The sequence below is a fragment of the Homo sapiens genome, chromosome 9, assembly GCF_000001405.40.
Source record: "Homo sapiens chromosome 9, GRCh38.p14 Primary Assembly".
In the NCBI taxonomy this organism is placed as follows: domain Eukaryota; kingdom Metazoa; phylum Chordata; class Mammalia; order Primates; family Hominidae; genus Homo; species Homo sapiens.
This window is the reverse complement of record NC_000009.12, coordinates 70,951,224-70,975,714: the sequence shown is the minus strand read 5'-3', so window position 1 is coordinate 70,975,714 and position 24,491 is coordinate 70,951,224. Positions and strand designations below refer to the sequence as shown.

At 37.8% G+C, this 24,491-nt stretch overlaps 1 protein-coding gene across 14 annotated transcripts in view, besides 1 other annotated feature; it reads left to right on the top strand.

The window, feature by feature from the left end:
- TRPM3 (transient receptor potential cation channel subfamily M member 3) overlaps nucleotides 1-24,491 on the top strand; it is a 917,912-nt gene that overhangs the window by 471,257 nt on the left and 422,164 nt on the right. The gene's annotated exons all lie outside the window — the stretch shown is intronic.
- Nucleotides 20,574-21,773: an enhancer, noted in NCBI's record as "CDK7 strongly-dependent group 2 enhancer chr9:73568858-73570057 (GRCh37/hg19 assembly coordinates)". NCBI's record gives its function as "activates an origin of replication core promoter dependent on BRD2, BRD4, P300/CBP, MED14 and CDK7 cofactors, with strong dependence on CDK7, by STARR-seq in HCT116 cells {active_cell/tissue: HCT116}" and the evidence as "EXISTENCE:reporter gene assay evidence [ECO:0000049][PMID:35650434]".

Sequence of the window (24,491 nt, the reverse complement as noted above, 5' to 3'; positions counted from 1 at the left end):
CAAGGGCTAGCTGGGGTGAGCCCCTAGGTGACTCTAACACCTCAGAATGCAAATCTTTAACCTTTGAGCTGTAGCTGCCTTCTAGCAAGTGGTGAGTTAATAGAGGTTTCCCTGAGAGGTTCCCAAGGTTTAAGGGCTTGCATGGATTTTATCCATTGCAACTAATTAAGAAACTTCTTCAGAAATTGTGGCTACAGAGTGTTAGGTAACTGTACATATAAACATCTATTTTTCTACTGATATGAATAAAATATAGTGTGACTTGAAGCCAGCCCTAGGCAGTATTATATTTGTTTTCAAGAGTCACATGGAGGTCTTCACAACATTAGAGATGGTCAAAATGATTTTCCACTACGTATTTCCTTGAAATGGCTGTGGTACAAGTAACAAGCTCCTTTTCCTTTGAAGAATCCTATATTAGCCTTTTATTTTTTTACTCTTAAAGATATAATTTGAAGATAGGACTAACATGATACTATAAAATGACTCCGTTCAACAACTCCTTCATTAAAATTGTCTTTAGCTTCCCAAAGAAACTGATGTTCCAGGCGGGGTGCGGTGGCTCACACCTAAAATCCCGGCACATTGAAAGTCTGAGATGGCAGATCACCTGAGGTCAGGAGTTCAAGACTAGCCTTGCCAACATGCTGAAACCTTGTCTCCACTAAAAATACAAAAAATTAGCCAGATGTGGTGATGGGCACCTGTAATCCCAGCTACTTGGGAGACTGAGGAAGGAGGATGGCTTAAAGCCAGGAGTTGGAGGTTGCAGTGAGCCAAGATCACGCCACTGCACTCCAGCCTGGGCGTGACAGAGCAAGACTCTACCTCAAAAAAAAAAAAAAAAAAAATTGATGTTCCATCACTCCTGTGGAACTGTAATCAATATTGAATTGTTGTCTTTGTGTAAATAACTCCAATTTTGTGTAAATTACTTAAATTTTGTCCTTGAATAAGTTATTTTATTTATTATTATTATTATTTTTGAGATGGAGTCTCACTCTGTCACCCAGACTGGAGTGCAGTCGTGTGATCTCGGCTCACTGCAAACCCCGCCTCCTGGGTTCTAGCGATTCTCCCGCCTCATCCTCCTGAGTAGCTAGGACTACAGGCATGTGCCACCACGCCCAGCTAATTTTTTGTATTTGTTTGTTTGTTTGTTTGTTTGTTTGTTTTGAGACGGAGTCTCGCTCTGTCGCCCAGGCTGGAGTGCAGTGGCGCGCTCTCGGCTCCCTGCAAGCTCCGCCTCCCGGGTTCACACCATTCTCCTGCCTCAGCCTCCCGAGTAGCTGGTACTACAGGAGCCCGCCACCACGCGCGGCTAATTTTTGGTATTTTTAGTAGAGATGGGGTTTCACCGTGTTAGCCAGGCTGGTCTCGATCTCCTGACCTCGTGATCCCCCCGCCTTGACCTGCCAACGTGTTGGTATTACAGGCGTGAACCACCGCGCCCGGCCACGTAAATTATTTAAACACATTTCTCCTCTGTTTAAAAACAAAATACCTTTCTCATTTATATCTGGAAACTGTTGTATCAAGGGAAAAAAAAGCAGGTATAATGCTTCAGTAAGTTTACTACGCTATACAAAGAGAAAGAATTCCTTCAAACTATAATGACTGAATTACTTTTCAGGATTAGCCTGTTGGTTTCTTTAGTTAGTAGGTAGTTAATAACATTTGTAAGTATAATTCCTTTTCATTTATGTAGTGCATACATATACTACAATTAACTATGTGCAGGCATTTTATAAATAGCAACTCATTTAATTTATTAGGAAGATTGTCCTTTTAGACATCCATTGCTTTAGAATACCCTCTGTCTGTTGGTAAGAAGTTGTATCATGCCTTTGAAACTGACAAATTCTATGCTGTGTGATTTGCAGAACTTTATTAAAAATGTATTTTGTATAATCTTTGTTATAATTTTTAGTCCCTTTCCATTGATGTTAGTGTGAATTTTTTATTTCTTTCCAATGAAAGTTCTAGGTGAGTGATGTTTAATAGCCAGGTCAGAGGAGGGAATGAAGATGATGATTTGTAGCATTTGCCAATTTCTTTGGAGTAAATAGCTGATTTGATACTACTGACATGATGCCACAACATGGAGTTGGGAAGAGATCCTAACAATCAGCTCCCATGAGTCATCTTTTTCATTTTTTAACTTAAGGATGCTGTACATTTGGGTTTAGTGAGAATGATTTAGATACCTAGACAAACTCAGAAAAAAAAGCAAATGTCTCATAAAGTGTAGGATATTAATGGCCTAACTTTCCTATATTGGTATAGTTGATAAGATTTGAAATCTCATATACAAACCAATAGGAAGACTTCATAAGAATTAATATACTTACATGAGTCATTTTTACTAGAAATTAAATGCAGTCACAAGTGAATGAGAGCTTCTTAAATTCAGGCTAGCTCAGCTAAAGGAAGCAGGATAAGCAGTGGCCTTGTCAGTATGATAATGTAGACTGATAAAAAGAGTCCCCTACTAATATTAACCACCCACAACCTGTAATTATTGTGATAAGAAAGTCAGTGGAATAAATGATTGTACATGGTAAGCATTAAAGAGGACAGGACTACAATTCAGCAGAAACAAATTCCAGGGCCTGCCTCCTATCTGTGTCACTTAAAATCTTATTTTGTCTCACCTGTTTCATCTTTATATTGGAAATATTAATAATTGTTGAAAGTATGAGTGTCACAATGCCTTAAAAGTCAAAGGCATTATACAGATATCATATATGAATAATAAGGTGTGTCTTATGTAGGGGTTAGATTCCAAAGTCAGAACATGGGAAGGCAGAAATTGTGGGTAATGTCAATCCATGCTTCTGATCCTTTAGATATACCAACATCCCCAGAAAATAATAAATATTGGTGGATCAAAGTGGGCACTAACCTGAATAATTCTTACTGAACAAAGCCTTACAAGTATTACCAGCCTGGATTCTCTTTGTCCACTGAGACATAGAAAAGTAACATCTACACTGATTCAAGTCCGAAGACTTATTCAAGATCTTAAAAAAGTCCTGAAGCACTGTTACTCCTTTTTTTAAAGTAAAAGAAGAACTTTTTTGAGTTATAATTTACATACCATAAAGTTTCTAGGGTGTATAATTTAGTGGATTTTAGTAGACTACAAGTTGTGCATCCCTCATCACTCTCGAATTCCAGAACACTTTCATTCTTTCAAAAAGAAACTCTTTACCCATTAGCAGTCATTCCCCATTTCCGCTCATCCCAGTCCCTGGCAAACACTAATCTACTTTCTATATCTAGATTTGCCTATTGTGAACATTTAATGTAAGTGGAGTCTTACTCTATGTGGCCTTTTGTGTATAAAATTGTGATTTATCTGACAACATAGATGAATCTTGAAAACATTACGCTCTTTCACTTAGCATAATGTTTCACTTAGCATAATGTTTTCAAGGCTCATCCATGTTGCAGGATGAATCACAATTGTATTCCTTTTTATGGCTGAATAATATTTCGTTGTATTGTATACCATATCAAGTGACAGACATTTGGATAGTTTGCATTTTTTATTATGAATGATGCGGCTATGAATATCTATGTACAAGTTTAGACATGAAAATATGTTTTCAGTTCTTTTAGATATATGCCTCGGAAAAGAATTGCCAGGTCATATAACTCTGGTTAACATTTTGAGGAACTGCTAGACTGTTCTCCAAAGCAGCTAAACCATTATGTATTCCCACTAACAGTGTTTGAAGGTTGCAGTGTCTCCATATCCTCACCATCTATTGTTAGTGTTATCTTTTTCATTACAGTCATCCTGGTTGGTGTGAAGTTGTATCTCATTGTGGTTTTGATTTGCACTTCCCTAATGACTAATGATATTGAGCATTGTTTCCTGTGCTTATTGTCCATTTGTATATTTGCTTTAGGTCTTTGTAATATTTCACTGGAAGTGTCCCCAGTACAATCTACTTCCCAAATGGTTCCTTACCTCTTCTCAGTCCTATATGTTCCCCATTCTTCCCTCTAGAATGGGGTTCTTTGGTTCCTAAGAACCAAAATACAAATTTATCTCATTTTTTCATAGAGCACAGCTTAACTTTCTTATTTTCTTTCTTGAGTTTTTACTAATACTCATATTTTTAGGGCTTCTCACTTTCTTCTTCACAAGAATTCATTTCCCCCCTGAAAGACAATTCATCCCTAATAGGGATTCGGGTGCCATTTTTCATGCCATTGTTCTCAACAAGTTTTGATGGGGTAGTGGGTAGAGAGTGTTCCTAGCGGTGAATAGAGAGCCTAGCTACCTGAGCAGTGAAAAAATAAGGATCACCAAGGGGATAAATGAAAGGCATTAAAAAGGGCAAGAAAAAAACGTTTATGTTGATGGGTGTCAGCTATTTCAATATGCTGCGAGTGGCTGAGGGAGCAGAAAGTGTCTTATAGGTTAGCTCAGTGTGAGGGCAGGGTGAAGATTACTCAGTAGAAGGGGAAAAGAAACCAGTGGTTAAGTATACAAAACTTTGGATTTTTTATTATACAGATCCATAATCCTTTACAGTCGGCATTTTATAATTCAGTGTTTTTCAGATTTTAGAAAAGTGATACAACAGATGTAACATACATTACATAGCACCCTAGTAGAGTCTAAGGCAGCATCCCATAATCATACACAGCATTAATTGTGTATAACAGCGAGTGGGATAAGAAATCTAAATAGCTTTACACCAGTTTAGGCTTGGATTGGTTGCCAGACGAGTTAGGCAAAAAATTTTCTATTTTCTTTCAGTTTGGGTTTTTTACTTGTTCATTCTGAATGTCATATCATGGACCTGTATCTTTCAAATGAAAAAATGTATAGGTGATAAGCCATTCTTCAAACATTCTCTTTTGGGGAGACCACTCAGCAAGGTTAATGAGGATGAAAATGATGTTTCCCAAGTGCCAGTCTTCTTTCCAGCTGGTTATTAGGTCAGTGGTCAACACAACGCACAGAGAAGCTTCCCTGCTTAGAAGCATTCACTTTGGCCTCATCACCAGCTTTCATTTCAACTTCAGTCTTTTACAGTTTATTGCAGTAAATATAGTTGAAACACAAGATAATGGGCAAATGTTATTCAGGACATTGATGTGAAGCTCCAGAAAGAAAAAGAAACCACCACAGAGAGGAGAGTAGCAGGAAAGAAGACAGTAGATAAAAACAACATTAGGAAAATAGCTACTCCCCACGGAAGGCCCATCGCTGTACCAAGTCTGTCCTTGGAATATCTTGAATGATAATAAATGAGCACAGGGTTCCAGAAGGAGTGACTGACAACCTTTGTACGGATTTAATTGAGGAATTAGTCTTAATTTGCTTTTTGTTTTTGAATGACTTTAAAGGGACTCTGATGCAGGTGCGGTCTAATGGAAAATCCTCTTGATTTACCCAACCTCCTTGTCAGAATGACCCTAAGGGGCATCATTTATTTTCATTATAAAGGTTTTCATTTTGTTAGAGTCACTCTGGTGGGAATATTTTACATACATTAACTCTAAAATTCATAACCTTGAAGTAGAGGTTCTAACATCCCCATATAAACAAAAAAATTGAGGTTTGGAGAGGTTAGCTAATTTATACAAGTTATACAGTAAATAATTTGTTGCATTGGGATTCAGACACAACTCTGTCTGATGATAAAGTTCTTGTTCTTTCTGCTGCTTATGATTCCTCTTTAATTGATACCCTGCTTTTGTCACTGTCCACATGGATACTGATTTTGCTGTATAGTGTCGAGACCTATAGACCTGGTTTCAAATCTAAGCTTTACCACATACTGACTGTATGACCTGGGAATAGTAATGATAGTAGTGGTAATAAGAGTTACCATTCAGTATGTATCAAGCACTATTCTTAAATATATATATAACATACACATAATTATATAATTTCTTAGTGTGTGTGTGTATATATATATATATATATATATAAAATCATTCAGTCTTCACAACAATCCTGCAGGTGTGTAGGATTATTATGCTATTTACAGATGAGGAAACTGAGACAGAAAGTGGTTAAATCACACAATTTATAAGAGGCAGGAGATTTCAACACAATATTCTATCTGCAGAATTCATGAAATTCAACTATTTCACTATAAAGCCTAAGAAGTTAAACTCTTTGAGATTACATTTCTTATTCATTAACATTGTTTATTAATAATTAATATTAATAGTATTGGCTATTCATGACCAACACATTATTATTTAACAACATTCATATTTTATTCAGATTTCCTTAGTTTTTACATAATGTCTTATTATTTTTAACTTTAAGGGCTGGGGTACCTGTGTCAAATGTGCAGTTTCATTATGTAGGTGTACACGTGACATGGTGGTTTGCTGTACCCATCAACCTGTCACCTGCATTAGGTATTTCTCCTAATGCTATCCCTCCCCTAGCCCCCCACCCCCTGAGAGGCCCTGGTGTGTGATGTTCCCCTCCCTGTGTCCATGTATTCTTATTGCTCAACTCCCATTTATGAGTGAGAACATGCGGTGTTTGGTTTTCTGTTCTTGTAATTGTTTGCTGAGAATGATAGTTGGTAGATTCTGGATATTAGTCCTTTGTCAGATGGATAGATTGCAAAAATTTTCCCCCATTCTGTAGATTGCCTCATCAGTCCGATGATAGTTTCTTTTGCTGTGCAGAAGCTCTTTAGTTTATTTAGATCCTATTTGTCAATTTTGGCTTTTGTTGCCATTGCTCTTAGTGTTTTAGACATGAAGTCTTTGCTCATGCCTATGTCCTGAATGGTATTGCCTAGATTTTCTTCTAGGATTTTTATGGTTTTAGGTCTTATGTTTAAGTCTTTAATCCATCTTGAGTTGATTTTTGTATAAGGTGTAAGGGAGGGGTCCAGTTTCAGCTTTCTGCATATGGCTAGCCAGTTTTCCCAACACCGTTTATCTATAAAATAGAATACTATCTACCTTATATAATTGTTGTAAGCATCAAATGAGAAAATATATGCGAAGAACTTATCACAGCCCCGACACATAAACACAAAAAAAACCATCCCACAATGTTCATTTTCTTCTCCTTTTCTCTGAAGCCAGTACAACAATTTCACAGACAGTATTTAATATTTGCTACACTGGTGACCTGGATCACTTTTAAAAGTCAGAGTGATCTGGAGCAATACAATGTGCAATATGAACCCTTGGAATAGAACTGAATCCCAGCATAAGAGGGGCTCTCAGATTCATACAAGCTGGTGGAGTAAGACTCCAGGGACAGATATGAACTGAGAATCTGCACTGATTGCATGATAAAGGAAGGAAGGAATCCACTTGAGTGTATAACAATCACCATTTGATGCAGTCTGTTCCGGGAGAGTCTTCAGTACCTATTCATTGCCAAAATGGGATGAAAAACCAACACAGAGCCCTGCCCATTGTAGGGACATATCTTGAGTGACATTAATCTTTAAGTGTTTTTGCTTTCTGTAAAGAAGCCCTTAATTTATCAATATAAGCACATTGTATACCTATTATATGGCTCAATGAGGGTTGCATAGTATGCAATACACAATACTAGTTCTTAAAGAGCACCTTAGTGAGAAGACAGGATACTCAGGGAAAGAGGTAAGCAATGCAATTTCTTATGGAAAAAGGATAAAGAGTAAATATGACCATTATTAAAATGAATGCAAGGACCCAGGACTTGGATGGCCTGGAGAAATTTCATAAAAGAGATGTGACTTGAGCAGGGCCCTAAAGGACATATCAGTCTCACAATTCTCATCTATAAAATGGAGATAATAATTCCAGCTTCGTTTCTATGGAGGTCACATGAGATAGTATGAATTAGCTTTATCCACAGTGTATTGTGGGGACCATTAAACCCTTGAAATATCCCAAGAGAAAGGTTTTATGATAAGGTAAATTTTCAAAACCCTATATAAATCACCCTCTTAGAGTTTCTCAATAAATATTCACATCATAATGATGCTAAGAATTATGGAAGGCTAAAAAGAAATTGTTGAGTCTTGTTTTACTCAGAGGAGAGGGGTCCCAAATAATTTGATCACAGAAGCCCTTTATTCAGAGATCATCTATTAACATCTTATGTGTTCCATGGGACACACTTTGAGAATGCTAATAGACATGAAAAGTTCTTTGTGTACTTGCATAAAGTGACATGGTGATTCATATTATTTTATGCAACTATCTGTAGTATAAGTTCACAAAGTAAACACAGAATTTCTTTGGATCAGAAAATGTATCTAACTTTATCTCTCACTGTATGCATGGGCTTTTTCTGCTTATATTTTTAAAAAATTTAAAAAAAAACATATTTAGAGTTTATGTCTTACCATCCAAATTCAACCCACTCAAGTCCCAGTCAAGATTTCCCTTTTTCACAAAATCTTTCCAACCTTCCCTCCCCTCCTGCCCACAGGGATTCCTCTGTTCTCTGATCTTTCTTAGCACTGACTGTCCCCAAGGAACTGGGACTTTAGAGTCGTCTCTAAGAAACTGGAATTATGCAGAATTAAAATGTTCCACATTTGGTAGAGTTGAATAGCATTAGAATGAAATTTGTGAGAAAACCACAGTTTTAAAAGAAAAGGTAGCATTTCCTCATTAGAGTTCCAGAAGTTCCAGAAGAATTTCACAAGGGAAAACTGCTTCTTTTCTGTTATTGTTTTTGTTGTGTTTTGTTTTTGCTTTGTTACCCAATTCTAAGTTCACAATTACAAACATTTCATTTATATATTAAGTATATTAAATTTAAATCTTCTGAACTTGGACAGGGATTTACATTTAAACTTTTAAAATATCATTTTTAAACTCTTATTTGAAGTTCAGGGATACATGTGCAGGTTTGTTATATGGTAAACCTTTGATGTGGAGATTTGTTGTACAGATTATTTTATCACCCAGGTATTAAGCTGAGTACCCATAAGATATTTTTCCTGATCCTTTCCCTCCTCCCACCCTCCAATAAACCCCAATGTGTGGTGTTCCCCTCTATATGTCCATTTGTTCTCATCATTTAGCTCCCACTTATAAGTGAGAACACGCGGTGTTTGGTTTTCTATTCCTTTGTTAGTTTGCTAAGGATAATGGCCTCCAGCTCCATCCATGTTTCTACAAAGAATATGATCTCATTCTTTTTTATGGCTGCATAGTATTCCATGGTGTATATGTACCACATTTTATTTATCTAGTCGACCATTTATGGGCATTTAAGTTGATTCCACATCTTTGCTTTTGTGAATAGCACTGCAATGAACATAAGCATGCATGTGTCTTTATGATGGAATGATTTATATTCCTTTGGATAAATACCCAGTAATGGAATGCTGGTCAAATGGTAATTCTGTTTCTAAGTCTTTGAGGAATTGCCACACTGCTTTCCACAATGGTTGAATGAATTTACACTCCCACCAATGGTGTAACAGTGCTCCCTTTTCTCTGTAACCTTGCCAGCACCTGTTATTTCTTGATTTTTTAATAATAGCCATTCTGACTGGTGTGAGATGGTATCTCATTGTGGTTTTGATTTGCATTTCTCTAATCAGTAATGTTGAGCTTTTTTTCATATGCTTGTTGGCCACATGTATGTCGTCTTTTGGAAATTATCTGTTCATGCTATTTGCCCACTTCTTAATGGGGTTGTTTCTTTGTGGTTTTTTTTTTTTGTAAATTTGTTTGTTTTTTTAGATGCTGGATATTAGACCTTTGTCAGATGCATAGTTTTCAAAAGTTTTCTCCCATTCTGTAGCGTCTGTTTACTCTGTTGATAGTTTTGTTTACCGTATAGAAGCTCTTTAGTTTAAAGAGATCCCATTTGTCAATTTTTGCTTTTGTTGCCATTCCTACTGGTACTATCCTAAGAAAATGAGGAGGACAGACTTGTCCGCAACCCACTTTATGAGTCCAGCATCATCCTGATACCAAAACCTGGCAGAGATACAATGAAAAAAGAAAACCTCAGGCCAATATCCTTGGCCTCATAGGATATTGAACAATGATGCAAAAACCCTCAACAAAATACTGGCAAATAGAATCCAGCAGCATATCAAAAAGCTTATCCACAACGATCAAGTAGGCCTTATCCCTGGGATGCAAGGTTGGTTCAACATACACAAATCAATAAATGTGATTCCTCACATAAACAGAACTAAAGACAAAAACCACATGGTTGTCTCAATAAATGCAGAAGAGGTTTTTGATGTCTTCTTTTTAAAATACAGTCACAAAACTAATGACTCTTTTCTCTGTGTCACTTGATTGTTATAAAATTTTAGTACTTCCTGACTACACTGAAATCTGTGATTTGGTCTTCAAAATCATTTTTGTTCAAAAAGGGGGGGATAAAATGCAACAGTTCTAATTTAAACTTAGCACATTACTTATTACTGGGACCACCTTTTTTGAAGTTGTAAAATCAAAGTACAATAATTACTGAGTTTAAAATGCCATAAATATGTTCAGTGCTATTCTTGAAAGCAAGGAATCTTTTGGCCTTCTGACTGATGCACCAATGGAACTATTTTATGTGCCAAAGGAAAATGCCCATGAGTTGCTTTTACTGTGAATTTAAAAAAAATAAATAAAAAAAAGGATAATTTGAGAGCATGACACTGTAGCTATTCTGGGAGAAGCTAGAAGTCAGATGGGGGAGAGTGAGTGAGTTAGAGAACTAGGGCATGATAAGATTAGGAACAACAGAATGTAGATAACAATGAGATTCTGTTCAGATACTGGCTTACTGTACTAAATTAAAAACAACCACAAGCTAAATATGGTGCACATTATATTATACAAAGAAAATTAAAATGAGGCAGAGAAATACAGACTGATCTCAACTTTTATTGTCCCATATAACAGAAAAGAGTCAGAAAAGGTCAGATTTAGAAAATTCTTCTGATTGCTGAAATAGAACTAGACACCTAAGCAGAATCTTTGGAAAGCAAAAGGTGATTTATTTGAAACCCTGTGGTTAATGAAAATATCTATTATTCATATACAGATTGTGATTTATGAAAATCAGTCAAGGACAGGAGTCACACCTAAGGCTCTGCTTGAAACTTGTTATTTATAATAATTCACATCAGCTCAGAATACAACTGGAAATTTCTCTGTGAGTTCCTCAACCACGGGGATTGTAGATTCTTCCTGGCCTTTTGACAGAGCCTAGAAATTAGTTACTTCTCAGTGAATGCTTGCTGTCCCAACCAGTTATCTAGGGAAATGAAACAGAATGAGGAACCACAAGTAAAAAACAGCAATGATACTGAGATTGTTGCCTTCACTTCAGTAACACATTTCTGCCACTTACCAAAATGTCTCATAGTTTTTAAGCTCTGGTTCTTCTGTTACCTCTCTGTTAATTAACTCATTAACTTAAGTATCCATTCATTCACCTAAAACCTCAGCTTTGAGCTTATTGTAGGCATGGGTTATATACTGTAAAATAAAAAAGCTTGGTCCTTGCCCTTTTGGAGTTTATGATCTAATTTAGGAAAGACAGACAATAAGTAGAAAATATATCTTAATCATAATTGGGATAAATAATAAGAATAAAAATAATGCTGACAAATACCCAGGCAGCGTATGCTACTTCAGAATAGCAGTTCTAGATGAAATTTGAACTTTCCTTTGAGAAATCACTCATTAAATTGATCTGTAGTCACTGATTTGCCAAGAAAACTCTATGAAATTTAAAACTGAGGTTAGAAACCTCCCTAGCCAAAAGAAGAAACCACCAGAGAAAACACATTTTGTAAGAGAAAAATATAAAGGTGGTAGAATCTTTAATATTATAATTGGCCTTTATTAGTTTTAATTTTAAAGTCTTGCTTTAAAAGATTTCTTTCTGACCCCAGAGAGAAGTTTTCTAGACCAAAGCTTAGGCTACTGTTGATGCAGGAGATGCATTTGTTTATTCACCCACTTTCAAGATAGCAGAGCTTGGCAAAGACTGTAGATTTTGGTGCCCAGTCTGAGGAACATGAGTATGAATACATACTCTTCTGGAGGTTTCCAGCGTGAACTTGAACAGGTTATTTACTCCTTCCAAGCCTCATTTTTGTAAACATTTTAGTCAAAATACAGCACACTTGCAAAAAGCGCACAAAATATCAATGCATACCTCGAAGTGTTATCACCAAACAAGTCTGTGTTGCCACCACCCAAGCCAAGACATGGACAATTGCCAGCCCCTCAAAATCTCCTCTTGGGCCCCTCCAATCTCTAGTCCTCTCTCCTCTCCAGATTAGCCACTCTCTTGAATTCTAACATTAAAATTTGATGTTGCACCCCCTCTTTAAAAACTATATTTGTATGGAATAAAATGGTATGTATTGTTTGGTGTGTCTAGCTGCTTTTACTGAACCACATTTCTGAAGCTGTAAAATGGGAGAAATGATGTCTTCCTTATTCTGTGGTTATGATAATGCTGTTGAAGTTGTGCAGCCTGTAAGGTGCTTGGCTTCCAGCCAGTTGCCAGAAAAGATGACTCTTTTATCCTTCCCAGTTGTTTTCACTAGCAGTGCATACAAATACAGAAATGCTAATGATAACGGTGGATTGATTTGGAAACATTTGCTAGAGCTTACCTTGCCTTGAGGTCTACTGTTTAAACACTGGTCTTCATCCTACCACTTAATTCTCCTTTTCTCTGTGCCTTTTCTTCCTATGGAGCAGCTCTTTCTTCTCCATTCATCTAGAAACAGGCTCAACTGGTTTGTGTTTCAAAAGATTACAAAAATGACCCAAAAAGATTTTCAGAGATAACAGTAACTGCAATTTATCTTTCATAAGGACATATTATGTTCCAGACATTCCGCTGAGCACTCTACATACATGACAGTCCCCTTGTCCCCCCGGTGATTTGGTATTCAAAATCACTTTTTGCAGTTTCTCTTTCCATTCTTTCAGTTACGCAAGGTACCATACAGTAAGATATTTTGAGAGAGAGAGAGAGACCACATTCATATAACATTTATTAGAGTATATTATATTGTTGTTTGTCTCTTACTGTTTGTAATTTATAAATTAAACTTTATCATAGGTATGTATGAATAAAAGAAAACATAGTTTATGTTGCATAGGATTTGGTACTATCCATGATTTCAGGCATCCACTGGGAGTCTTGGAACATATCTTTCATGGATAGGGGGAAACTACTGCATCTCATTCCGTCCTTACCATAGGTGAGTGAAAGAGGTATTTATAATATCCCCATTGCAGAGCTGAAGTACTGAGACCAGAGAGACTTGAAAGCTTACTCAACCACTAAGAAATGGAGTTAGGATTTCCATTTAGGCAGTTGATTATGAGCCTGGCTTTTAACTGCTGATGTACAGGCCCGTGATACAGGCAGATCCTATAATATTTTACTATGATCCTTTAGGGAAGATTATCATCTGTGGATTTTAACTCATCACTGGAGAGCTTCTTGGTGGAAAAACTAATGGGAGTCTATGACACTCTCCCCTATAACCTTACTGGGAAACACCCTCACTACCTGGCATTGAACAGGAGCTTGGAGGCCACATAAATGCCTCAATATAAGTTCTAAAGTTTAAAGGCTAAATCAGTCCATTTTGTGTGTTACATCTGCACTAAGGCATGTCATGATTTACCTGGGAAAGTGTCTTTGAGAATTTTAGTGCCTTCTCTAGTTCTCCTACCATTTCCTTCCTATCATCTTTATAATTTGTTTTCTATTTCCTAATTTTCTATTATTGATCAGTAATCACAGTCCTATAGAGTCATTCTATGATGCTAATTCAAAAAATTAGAGTCTCTATGAAAATCTGCCAGTTTTAATTCTATGAAGCAGTTAAAAAGAGAGTCTACTTGAGCATTTTATAATAAATCCCCTTATGGCATTACATAATATGTCTCAGTTTACAAAAACCAAACTTATAAATACCAATTTAATGCTTTCTTTGTGCATGATATCATGCTAGGGATCCTGGGTAAAACAAGAAAATAATATGACATAAGCCCCATCCCCAGAGAAGTTAAAATTTAGTTAAAGGAGAAAACTAAAATAGTCACAAAAAATTAAATTTAGCTTAAAGTAATAGTAGAAATGTTATAATACTGCCTATGAGTAAGAGGACATCTAAGGTAGTCTCAGAATAATTCCTAGAGATGTTCAGAGAAAACAGAAGTGACTTCAGGATGAATAAAAGCTGCAGAGTCAGGCTCTGTAAAACACCCTGGGTGAACAAGCATGGCTTTACCTGAGGCTTCAGGGAGATGAGGAGAGACAGGTAGAAGATGAGTTTCCTATTGTTTCCTATTGCTGCTGTAACAAATGACTGCAAACTTAACAGCTTAAGATGGCACAAGTTTATTATACAGCAGTTCCATAGGTCAGAAGTCCAAAATGGGTTGTACAGGTTAAAATCAAGGTGTTGCAGAGCTGTATGTCTTCTGGAGACTGTAGGGGAGAATCTGTTTCCTGCCTTTCCAGCTTCTAGAGACCACCTGCATTCTTTGGCTTGTGTCCCCTTCCTCCATCTTCAAAGCACATTGCTCCAACCTCTGTCTACGTCATCACATCTCCTCTCTGACTCCTACTCGCCTGCCTTCCTCTGTAAGGACCTTTGTGATTACACTGGGCCCACCAGGATCTTCTCCTTATGTTGTAATTAACTTCATCACAGCTGCAAAATCCCTCTTGCCATGTAAGATAACATATTCCCAGGTTTCAGGGATTAAGATAGGTGTGGACATCTGTACAGGCATTATTCTGTCTACTCCAGGCTGTTAACCCCATATTAAGGAACACTTTCAGTGATGGGCTTTGAAGTTGATCCTACACAGCACAAAATCATTGAACATTTCCATCTGGGGAGAGACATGAGCACAGCACAGAGTGAAAGGCAGAGCGGTGGCCAGGGAAACACGGAGATGAGGAGACTGATGTGGAGAGTGTTGAAGCCATCACTGGACAGTGTACACACGGCACATTTGCATGTCTCTGGTATGTTGCATGTGAGAACGAGAAAGTACCCACGTGCCCACCCATGCTATGCTTGTAAATACAGCCTCAGCTTGTTTTATGTGGATATTTGCTTCGCCATGGGAAAGCAACCACCTGAGGAGGCCTCAGACTTTCCTGCCTCCCAGTATTCCTGCTACAACATCGCTCTTTAAGCATTTTGTATTCTGAGGAATTATCATCATGCTTCAAAATACCAATATTCAGAGGGATGGGAAGTACTTCTCCAAACAATCTCCCAGGTGTCCCAGAAGGTTTTCCAATCATAAGAAGATGAAAAAAGGTAGTCTGTGATGAGCAATTAAATATGCAAGCTGCAATATCTTTCAGAGAGACCTTTTTCCATGGATGGGAGGGACTATCACCTGGAGGCAGCCAGAAGGGACTTCATAACAAGCAAGCTTGAGTGGCATTCACAACAGAGCTGAGATGCTGTTCACTAACTCTCCTCTCTGTTGTTTTCTTCATCCCATCATAATGTCCACAGTTTGAAATGAGTGTTCACGTACAGTAAGTTTTGATTCAGACACTTACTTTATTGGAATTAACTGTAGCTATGTCTCCACACAGGTGTTAAAAAAAAAAAAAAAGAACGAGAGTTGAATGAATTAGCAGACTTGCAATGGACTAAGAGATTGTTGGGGAGTTCCCACAAACACGCAGGCAAGAGCTGAAGTTGCCTCTCTGGCAAAACAAATTCAAAGAGTTCAGAAAAGAATAAGCCCTAATGATTATTAACTCATTTGGGGGTCTTATCATCAGTATAGTTACTTATCTAGGCTAAAGCAATTAAGATGAGATCAGATAGCTCTACCCTACTGCCTGCTAAGGCTTGATAACATGGAATTTTCAGAACACAAAAGTGTGTGTTTTGTGAAATGGAAGAGAAAATTATAACGTTGATGTTCACTTTGAGAAATTATAACGCAATCTAAAAGGGACGGGAAAATGAAACTTACCACTTTTCCAAGGCAAAATGGTGCGGAAGAGTTATTTTTGTGGTGGTTTGAGTTTTGATGTTCAGTAGCGAAGAAAGATCCCCAGAAATAGGCCCAGAAGTCTCAGAAGGAAAACATAAATATTCAGCTGTGCTTTTAACAACTTGCTATTTTCTTTCTTAATTGTGTTTACCTTTAAAACAACAACAAACAGAAGCCAAAAACTTGGCAGAGGATTGCTTTTTAAAAGGACTGTGTTCCTTGACTGCCAAATGAGCATGCCTTTCTTTCTTTTTTGGTGCTTTTTCCTTTTTTTTTTCTCTTTGTTAAAGTGATACTTTCCATTTCTTTCATTCAAAAACATCTTGCCCTTCTGCCATCATCCAGTACTTGGACATCAGAATGTTGGGGCCCACAGAGGACACTTCAAAGGCTGTGTTAATTATTATTATTATCATGTTTATTGTTGTATTATTGTATTAAATTGTAATAAGCATCCATTAAGACTCAGGATAGTAGGCATTAGGGATGTGCAAAATTGAGAGAAGAATATACACAAGCAAATATTTACTATACATTTTTTTTTTACAGGTGACATATTTTTTTTCTTTTTTTTATTATTATTATACTTTAAGTTTTAGGGTACATGTGCACAATGTGCAGGTTAGTTACATATGTATACATGTGCCATGCTGGTGTGCTGCACCCATTAACTCGTCGTTTAGCATTAGGTATATCTCCTAATGCTATCCCTCCCCCTCCTCCGACCCCACAACAGTCCCCAGAGTGTGATGTTCCCCTTCCTGTGTCCATGTGTTCTCATTGTTCAATTCCCATCTATGAGTGAGAACATGCAGTGTTTGGTTTTTTGTCCTTGCGATAGTTTACTGAGAATGATTTCCAATTTCATCCATGTCCCTACAAAGGACATGAACTCATCATTTTTTATGGCTACATAGTATTCCATGGTGTATATGTGCCACATTTTCTTAATCCAGTCTATCATTGTTGGATATTTGGGTTGGTTCCAAGTCTTTGCTATTGTGAATAATGCCACAATAAACATACGTGTGCATGTGTCTTTATAGCAGCGTGATTTATAGTCCTTTGGGTATATACCCAGAAATGGGATGGCTGGGTCAAATGGTATTTCTAGTTCTAGATCCCTGAGGAATCACCACCTTGACTTCCTAAAAGAAGACATTTATGCAGCCAAAAGACACATGAAAAAATGCTCATCATCACTGGCCATCAGAGAAATGCAAATCAAAACCACAATGAGATACCATCTCACACCAGTTAGAATGGCAATCATTAAAAAGTCAGGAAACAACAGGTGCTGGAGAGGATGTGGAGAAATAGGAACACTTTTACACTGTTGGTGGGACTGTAAACTAGTTGCTATATGTTATAATAAGCCATTTGTACTTTAAAAATACTGTGAGCATAGTATTATTATTATAATCATTATTATCATCAAAGGAGAGGACCTCTAGTGAATTTATGTTGATATGCCCATGTAGCACAGAACCATACAAACTTTGCTAGCAAAAATAGCCTACCCTTTTGAAACTGTTTCCCATGCTTGGGGTATAGAATGGAAAGGGGTCACTGCCCTGGGGTTGCTGATATCACATAGTAGCCACAGCCATTATCAGGGAGCACTCCCAAGGGAAAGGCGACCTTAGATCATCCATCTCTTGTCAGCCCATGTTCCTTTCTGTGCCTGTCTCAAAGTTGCAAGGTTCCATGTCTAATTTCATACATGCTATTCCTAATTTTCTGGTTGCTAAAGCCTCTTCTTTCTGTACTCAGAGCGTATGTCCAGGGAAGTAGGTTCCAAAGGCAAAGCACAGTTTTTTTTGTTTTTGTTTGTTTGTTTGTTTGTTTTACATAACATCCTTTTACAAAGGCCAAAGCTTGTAAGGAGTGCTAAAAATCTAGAAGAGGACTTTCATATTACAGTAGAGGAAGTCTGTTTCCTAACTGTTAAGTTCTGCCTCTTCTTTCTGATGTTCGATAGTAGATGCCATAGAACAGATGAAATTTGCGAAAGTTGGAGGAAAGGGAAGCAGCACAGCTGCTGAGTTTGAGGACTTTGGGCAAAGTACTTGAATTATGAGACTTTTGAAAAACAGAGGAATGAGTATTTATGAACCGAATGCAGCCAAGCATGCTGCTAAATAGTTTAAGTACCTATTTTGTTGGATGCCATCTTCAAAAAAAAATATGAGGTATAGGTGTGAAAACTAAGGATTTAAAAGAAAAGATACATGATTGTTTCACAACCCCTGTGTGACAAAGCTTGGGTAATTCAGTCCTTTTAACCCCAGAGCACCTCCCCTCTCAGCAGTGATAGTACCCGGAGCAGTGGGTAACAAGTAGTCGATGCTTCATAAGTGCTCAGTGGGCCTAAATTTCACAGTTCATGGGTTCTCCTTCTAAGATGACTTTGTTGTTGCAATTGTACACAAGTCTAGTGAAAAAGTATTTCCTTTAAAAATAAAATGTTGGCCAGGCGCAGTGGCTCATGCCTGTAATCCCAACACTTTGGGAGGCCGAAGTGCGTGGATCATTTGAGGTCAGGAGTTTGAGACCACCCTGACCAACATGGTGAAACCCCGTCTCTACTAAAAATACAAAAAAAATTAGCCAGGTGCGGTGGCGCGTGCCTGTAGTCCCAGCTACTCAGGAGGCTGAGGCAGGAGAATCACTTGAACCTGAGAAGCAGAGGTTGCAGTGAGCCGAGATCATGCCACTGCACTTCAGCCTGGGTGACAGAGTGAGACTTGGTATCAAAAAAAAAAAAAAAAAGAAAGAAAGAAATGTAACTAAAATTAAAATTTTTTTTAAATGTCAAAATTTAGAAGAAATTTTTTTTTTGGCAGGGGAGATATGGTCTTTCTCTGTTGCCCAGGCTGGAGTGCATTGGTGTGATCACAGCTCACTACAGCCTTGATCTCCTGGGCTCAAGTGATCCTCCTGCCTCAGCCTTCCTAGCAGCTGGGGCTATAGATGAGTGCTACTTCACCTGGCTAGTTTTTAAATTTTTTTGTAATGATGGGGTCTTGCTATGTTGCCCAGGCTGCTGTCAAAGTCCTGGCCTCAAAGAAATCCTCCCACCCTGGCCTCCCAGAATGCTGGGATTACAGGCGTATTACCATGCCCAGCCTAAGAATTTTTTAATCTAAGAAGTAAACCATTAAGACCTTTATACATTTGGATAGGATATGCATATAAATATATGCACATATATCCACAGATTCCTAGTTTAGTCAACAGTAAGTTTTAATATATTTTCAACATCTTTACCTTTGCTTTAAGAGCTTGCTACAACTATTCCATTTGCCTTGCAGACTTATTGTAGATTACATATATTTCCTGTTTTTTTTCTATTTAAAATTTGCTATCTTTGGGTGGAAATGTTTAATTAACAGAAGCCAGTGCTTTCTAAGGCAAAAAAAAAAAAAAAAAAAAAAGGTGTATTTCTCCTGGTAGAGATGAGGCTATCTTTATTTATTTGATTTCTTAAAGAAAGATTGATCCTAAGAACTGTCCAAGCTCTCCATTTATTCATATAAGTATAGCCTGTGGTCTGTTACGCCCAACATGCCCAATTCCTTAATCCTTATCCTGAAACACTTATCTTTGAGTAAACAAACATTTAGGTCCATGTGATTCTCAATCGGGCACCCTTCAAATGATAGTGCTAAATAGCTCAGTTAGAATATTGGGAGTTCCTCTGATATAAAAACTCATTCAGTAGGTATGAGACCACTAACTAATTGATATTGGCCACTGAAAGGTTGTCAGAGATAATGATATCCTGTCACTCTCATTATTATACTTTTTCAGCATACCAAGTATATTATGTGCCAAATAACAATAATAGCGCTGCCCCCAGTGAGCTCGTGGTTACCACTGAGCTTGTTAGATTAATTTGATGGGTGGGGTTCAAAACATTGACAAAGACTTGGATTCTATCCCACAGGGAAAGAGATAATTACCTGGAGTTCATGGGGCTTATACTGTAGGTAATTTGCCCAGATCAAAAGTATTATAAGCAGGCAGTTGCTATCTTACTTGGAGAGCTAATGTAATACTATCAGACACTCTGGAATAGTGGTCAAAAATTTTGGATTCTAGTTCTAGCGCTTTCCTTGATTTTCCATGTGACCTTGAATAAACCACTTAAATATCTGGGTCTCAAATTCCCTACCTGTAAAATAAAAATAATGTCAATCCACTTGAGTTATAAAATTGCCGTGAAAATCAAGTGAGATAATGTATATAAACATGAACTTAAAAGCATTCAGAACTAGAGACATGGTAACTTCTACTGATGTTATACAGTCATGTGGAACAGAGAAGGATATCTGAAGACAGGAACATGAAGTATAAATGAAAATAAAAATAATTGGATGAGACAAGGGAACTAAATAAGATCAAAGAATAGCCTTCAGTCTTTCTGTAATCTCTTCTTTAACATGGAAACAGCCTCCAACAAGTGTCCCTAAGCTGTTTAAAACTTTTGTCTGCTATTGGCAGAGGAGTATCACAGGAAAAAGAAGAATGTGATTGCCACTTTTTTTTCGTCTCTCAAAGAACCTCGAGCATAAAAGACTGTAATACAGACAATTAGAGGCTGATATAACTGTTGGATGGGCTATAGAAACAAAGGTCGGGGAAAAAAATGCTTCAAGTTTCAAGAACTCTGAAAACGCAGGAAATACACAGAAGCTATAGCTGATTATCTTAATTGCCTGCAACACCTAAGTAAGTAACTCGCAGGCACTCACCTAGAAAGCCCCTGGCAAAATCTTCCATAGGCATCTGTCACTGTTCACCTGGCTGCTGCTGGAGATTGAAGGCTGCTTTTCTTCTGCTTTCCAGATCTCCTGGAAACGACTCTCTTTGGCATAATTCATATTGGAATGTAGCTGGCAAGGGACCCCAGGAAGCGTAGGGCCCGGCCTTCTCCCCGAGGATGTATGGTGATGTGCAGTTGACAGCAGACAAGCTGGTGCAGTGTTGCTCTTCGAAACCATTTCCCTAAAAATATTTGCATGAAAAGACTAAAGTTATAAGCCACAGATTTCAAATGCTAAATCAGAGTTTTTTTTAAGTGTGAAACTAGATTTTATTCTTCTACTGTCATATGTATACTATTATAATCCTAAGATTCCACTGATTAGGGGTTGCACTATCGATAAGAGCTTTTCAAAGAAAAAGCAACGTAAAATCTACACATCAAATAAATGAGACATGCCCCCAAATCACTGATGTTAATACTATAAAAATGAGTCTTAGAGACAAGGAAACAGGATGTGATTGCAGTTTAGAGGACTCTTTTAGTAGGAAGTTGGGAGTCTTCATTCCTTCTCACATTCCTTCTCACATTCCTCTACATACTTAATCCAAGCTTATCACCAAGTTGAGTCAGGATTAAGGCATTTCACTGCACCACCAAAGAGGCCTGCGGGACATGCTGAAGGATATTTCACTGGCCACTGGGCTGGAGGAATAATGGAGATGTTTTATTGTCCTGAACAGGGAAGGAAGAGGGAGAGAGGTGGTCATAGTCTCTCTCTACATGGACTTCCTCACAGAACACTAGAGAAGTAGCTGATTCTCCCTCCTTCTCTTTGGTTTCCTTCTGCTTTTGTCTGATCTTTGTCCCGAAATGATCAGAGTGGAGGAGTCCTGTTTCTTCCTGAAAAAATCATTGTCTTCTCTCTGTATTTTTGGAGGTGGATGTAATTTCTTCAGGGATGTTTCTGATGCCCCAGCCTGAGAAGACCCACTGAAGTTTCTTGAGGCCAGATCTGCAGTAGGCATTACAGAAATGTTCCCTTCATCTTGCTCTTTGAGTTCTCTGAGGCTGGCACTGGATGACAGCCTGTGCATGGTGAGGTCTGAGATCTGGACTTGGCCAAGAGGTACAAGGTTAGGGCAGCTCCGTCAACCTGCTTTGGCTCTTGGTCTTTCCGGCCTACCTTGTTTAGGTAACATGAGTTTTCCACAGGATACCTCCCAACTCACTGGAGTGTTCTGCATTAGAGCTTGTGGCTTATATGTACACACATTACCTTTGGAACCTGGTGGGGAGGGATAGTCAGTTTAGAACCCAAATTCTTGGGTTTGTAACCAAATTCTGTAGTAATCTCACCTCATATTAAATAATACCATTTTTACGGCCTACAAATTAACTTCAAAAATTTTAACATATAATCAAGTTTCTCAAAAATTATATTTTTTGGTTTCCAAAAAGAGTGTGTGCTCAGGAGACATTTAAAAACGCAAGACAATGTCACATTTTTCAGAAAATGATGTCATGTCCTTACTTTAACTGTATTTATTTTTCTTTTTGTTTGTTTGTTTGAGACCAGCAGAAATATATTACCCACAGTAATCTTCCCCTAAGGCTGACTGGTTCATTCAAACTAAGTTTGATTTGAAAGAATGTTCATGGACACAGTCTCCCAATCATCCACCCTTATGTTCAGGGCTTCAAATGGTTAAGTAACTGTGGAAAAACAAAAGCACTTTGAAACTGTACAGCCACTACATTAAACATTTTCAGGCAAAACTCTCCACTATGGGGAAAGAAAAGAGAAGATTTGAGATATGTCACAGACTTTGTCTTTCCCTTGTGCCATAGAAGTTCTGTTGAGTAGCAATGAAGCATGAAGCATGTTGGATCCCAGTGGTGTAGATGACCGTCCAGCTTTAGCAGTATAGCATTTTAACCAGAAAGGTAGAAGTGCCTATCTTTGAGGCCATTTCTATGTTATTTGGTCAGTAGAGAAATTGTTTTCTCAATATTTGGCATAGCTGCAGAAAAATAGTTTGAATGCTTTATCATTTTTTTTGATGATCAAATTCAATTTTGTCGCTTCCCTGTGTAAATAGTCCTTCAGAGGCTCTCCCTGATTTTCTGGATTAAATCCAGAATATTTCACGTGCATTATTAGGCCCTTCAGCAACTGGTTCCTACTTACCTATCCAGTCTCGTCTCCCAACAATCCCCCACAAGATTTTGTCACTACAGCCTCAATGAACTCTCATTTTCCCAACACCCATGCTCAGCTGTTAATCCGTCTGTCAAACTTCCAATTTTTCGCTCTTTCCTTCAATCCCTTATCACATCTTCCAGATGAATTTTTACTTAACTTTCAGAAGACTGGACTTTAAGCTCCTCCAAAAACTGACCATGTTTTATTAATCTCCAAATTCCTGGTGCCTATCAGAAAGGCTGCTACACTGAGTTGTGATAACTCAAAACAAGTAAGTATGTTGGTATGCCTGAAATGAGCTACGTAATTGTGCATTCTCTATATTATTTTTATTCCAGTGTAAGAAGTCTTCTGCTTATGTAATATGAACAACTTTTTGTCACATCTCACTAGCAAGGGTCTTTTTGGTCATTACCAAAGTCCCTATTAAGAACAGTATCATGAATTCCAAATATAAAAACATGCCCTAACACACCACTTAAGAATTCAGATGTAATTGCAGTTATAGTAGCAAGATCATTCCCAGGCTATGGAATCAGGCTGTAAAATGAGCAATAAAACTTGCTGCTAAAGAAAAATCTGTTTTCATTAATGCCATGGGTTCATCAAATATTAGAGTCTTAGCTGAAAAAGAGTGAGCAGATCTTTTTAGGGCAGAAATGTGGGTTCATTTATGGTTAGGAGAATGGTGCTTTTCAAACCAGGGCATTGCATTTGCATTCTGGAGGTGAAATCAAGGCTTCTTGGATTATAAATCCCAGGGAGCATCTTGACCTTGTTCTTCCCCTAAATCATTTTCATCTGCATTATTGTCTGCCTCAGAGCAGCCATTGTTGGCAGAGTCAGCCTTGAGTTTCAGAGCAAAGCTCTGTTCAGTTGATCAGAAATTCTAGAGAGCTTAAATGCAGTGACTCGATATGGCTTCTTTGTTTGAATGTTTGTTAGTTAAGGCATTCCTTTAGCTCTGCAAAATCCATATTTCCCTGGAAGTTAGTACAGAAACTCAAGCATTTACTGTAACAGAAATATTATCAATGAGCTTTACTCCTCCTGGGTTATATAAGCAACAATACTTACATCCTGTCCTGTTTCTCAAATTCTTAAGGATTCATAATTCTGGCCAGGCATGGTGGCTCATGCCTGTAATCCCAGCAATTTGGGAGGCCAAGGCAGTCGGATCACCTGAGGTAAGGAGTTCAAGACCAGTCTGGCTAACATGATGAAACCGCGTCTCTACTAAAAATACAAAAATTAGCTGAGTGTGGTTGTGCATGCCTGTAGTCCCAGCTACTTGGGAGGCTGAGGCAGAGGGATCATTTGAACCTGGGAGGTGGAGGTTGCAGTGAGCCGAGATTGCACCACTTCACTCCAGCCCAGGCAACAAAGCAATACTTCATCTCAAAAACAAAAACAAAAAATCAAAATTGTACAGTATTCCTGATTTACAGTGTATGTTGAATGAGGGAGAGCTAGCAATGTACTAGAATAAAATTGAATAAAATGTCATAATTTTAAAAGAAATGTTATTTACCTCTT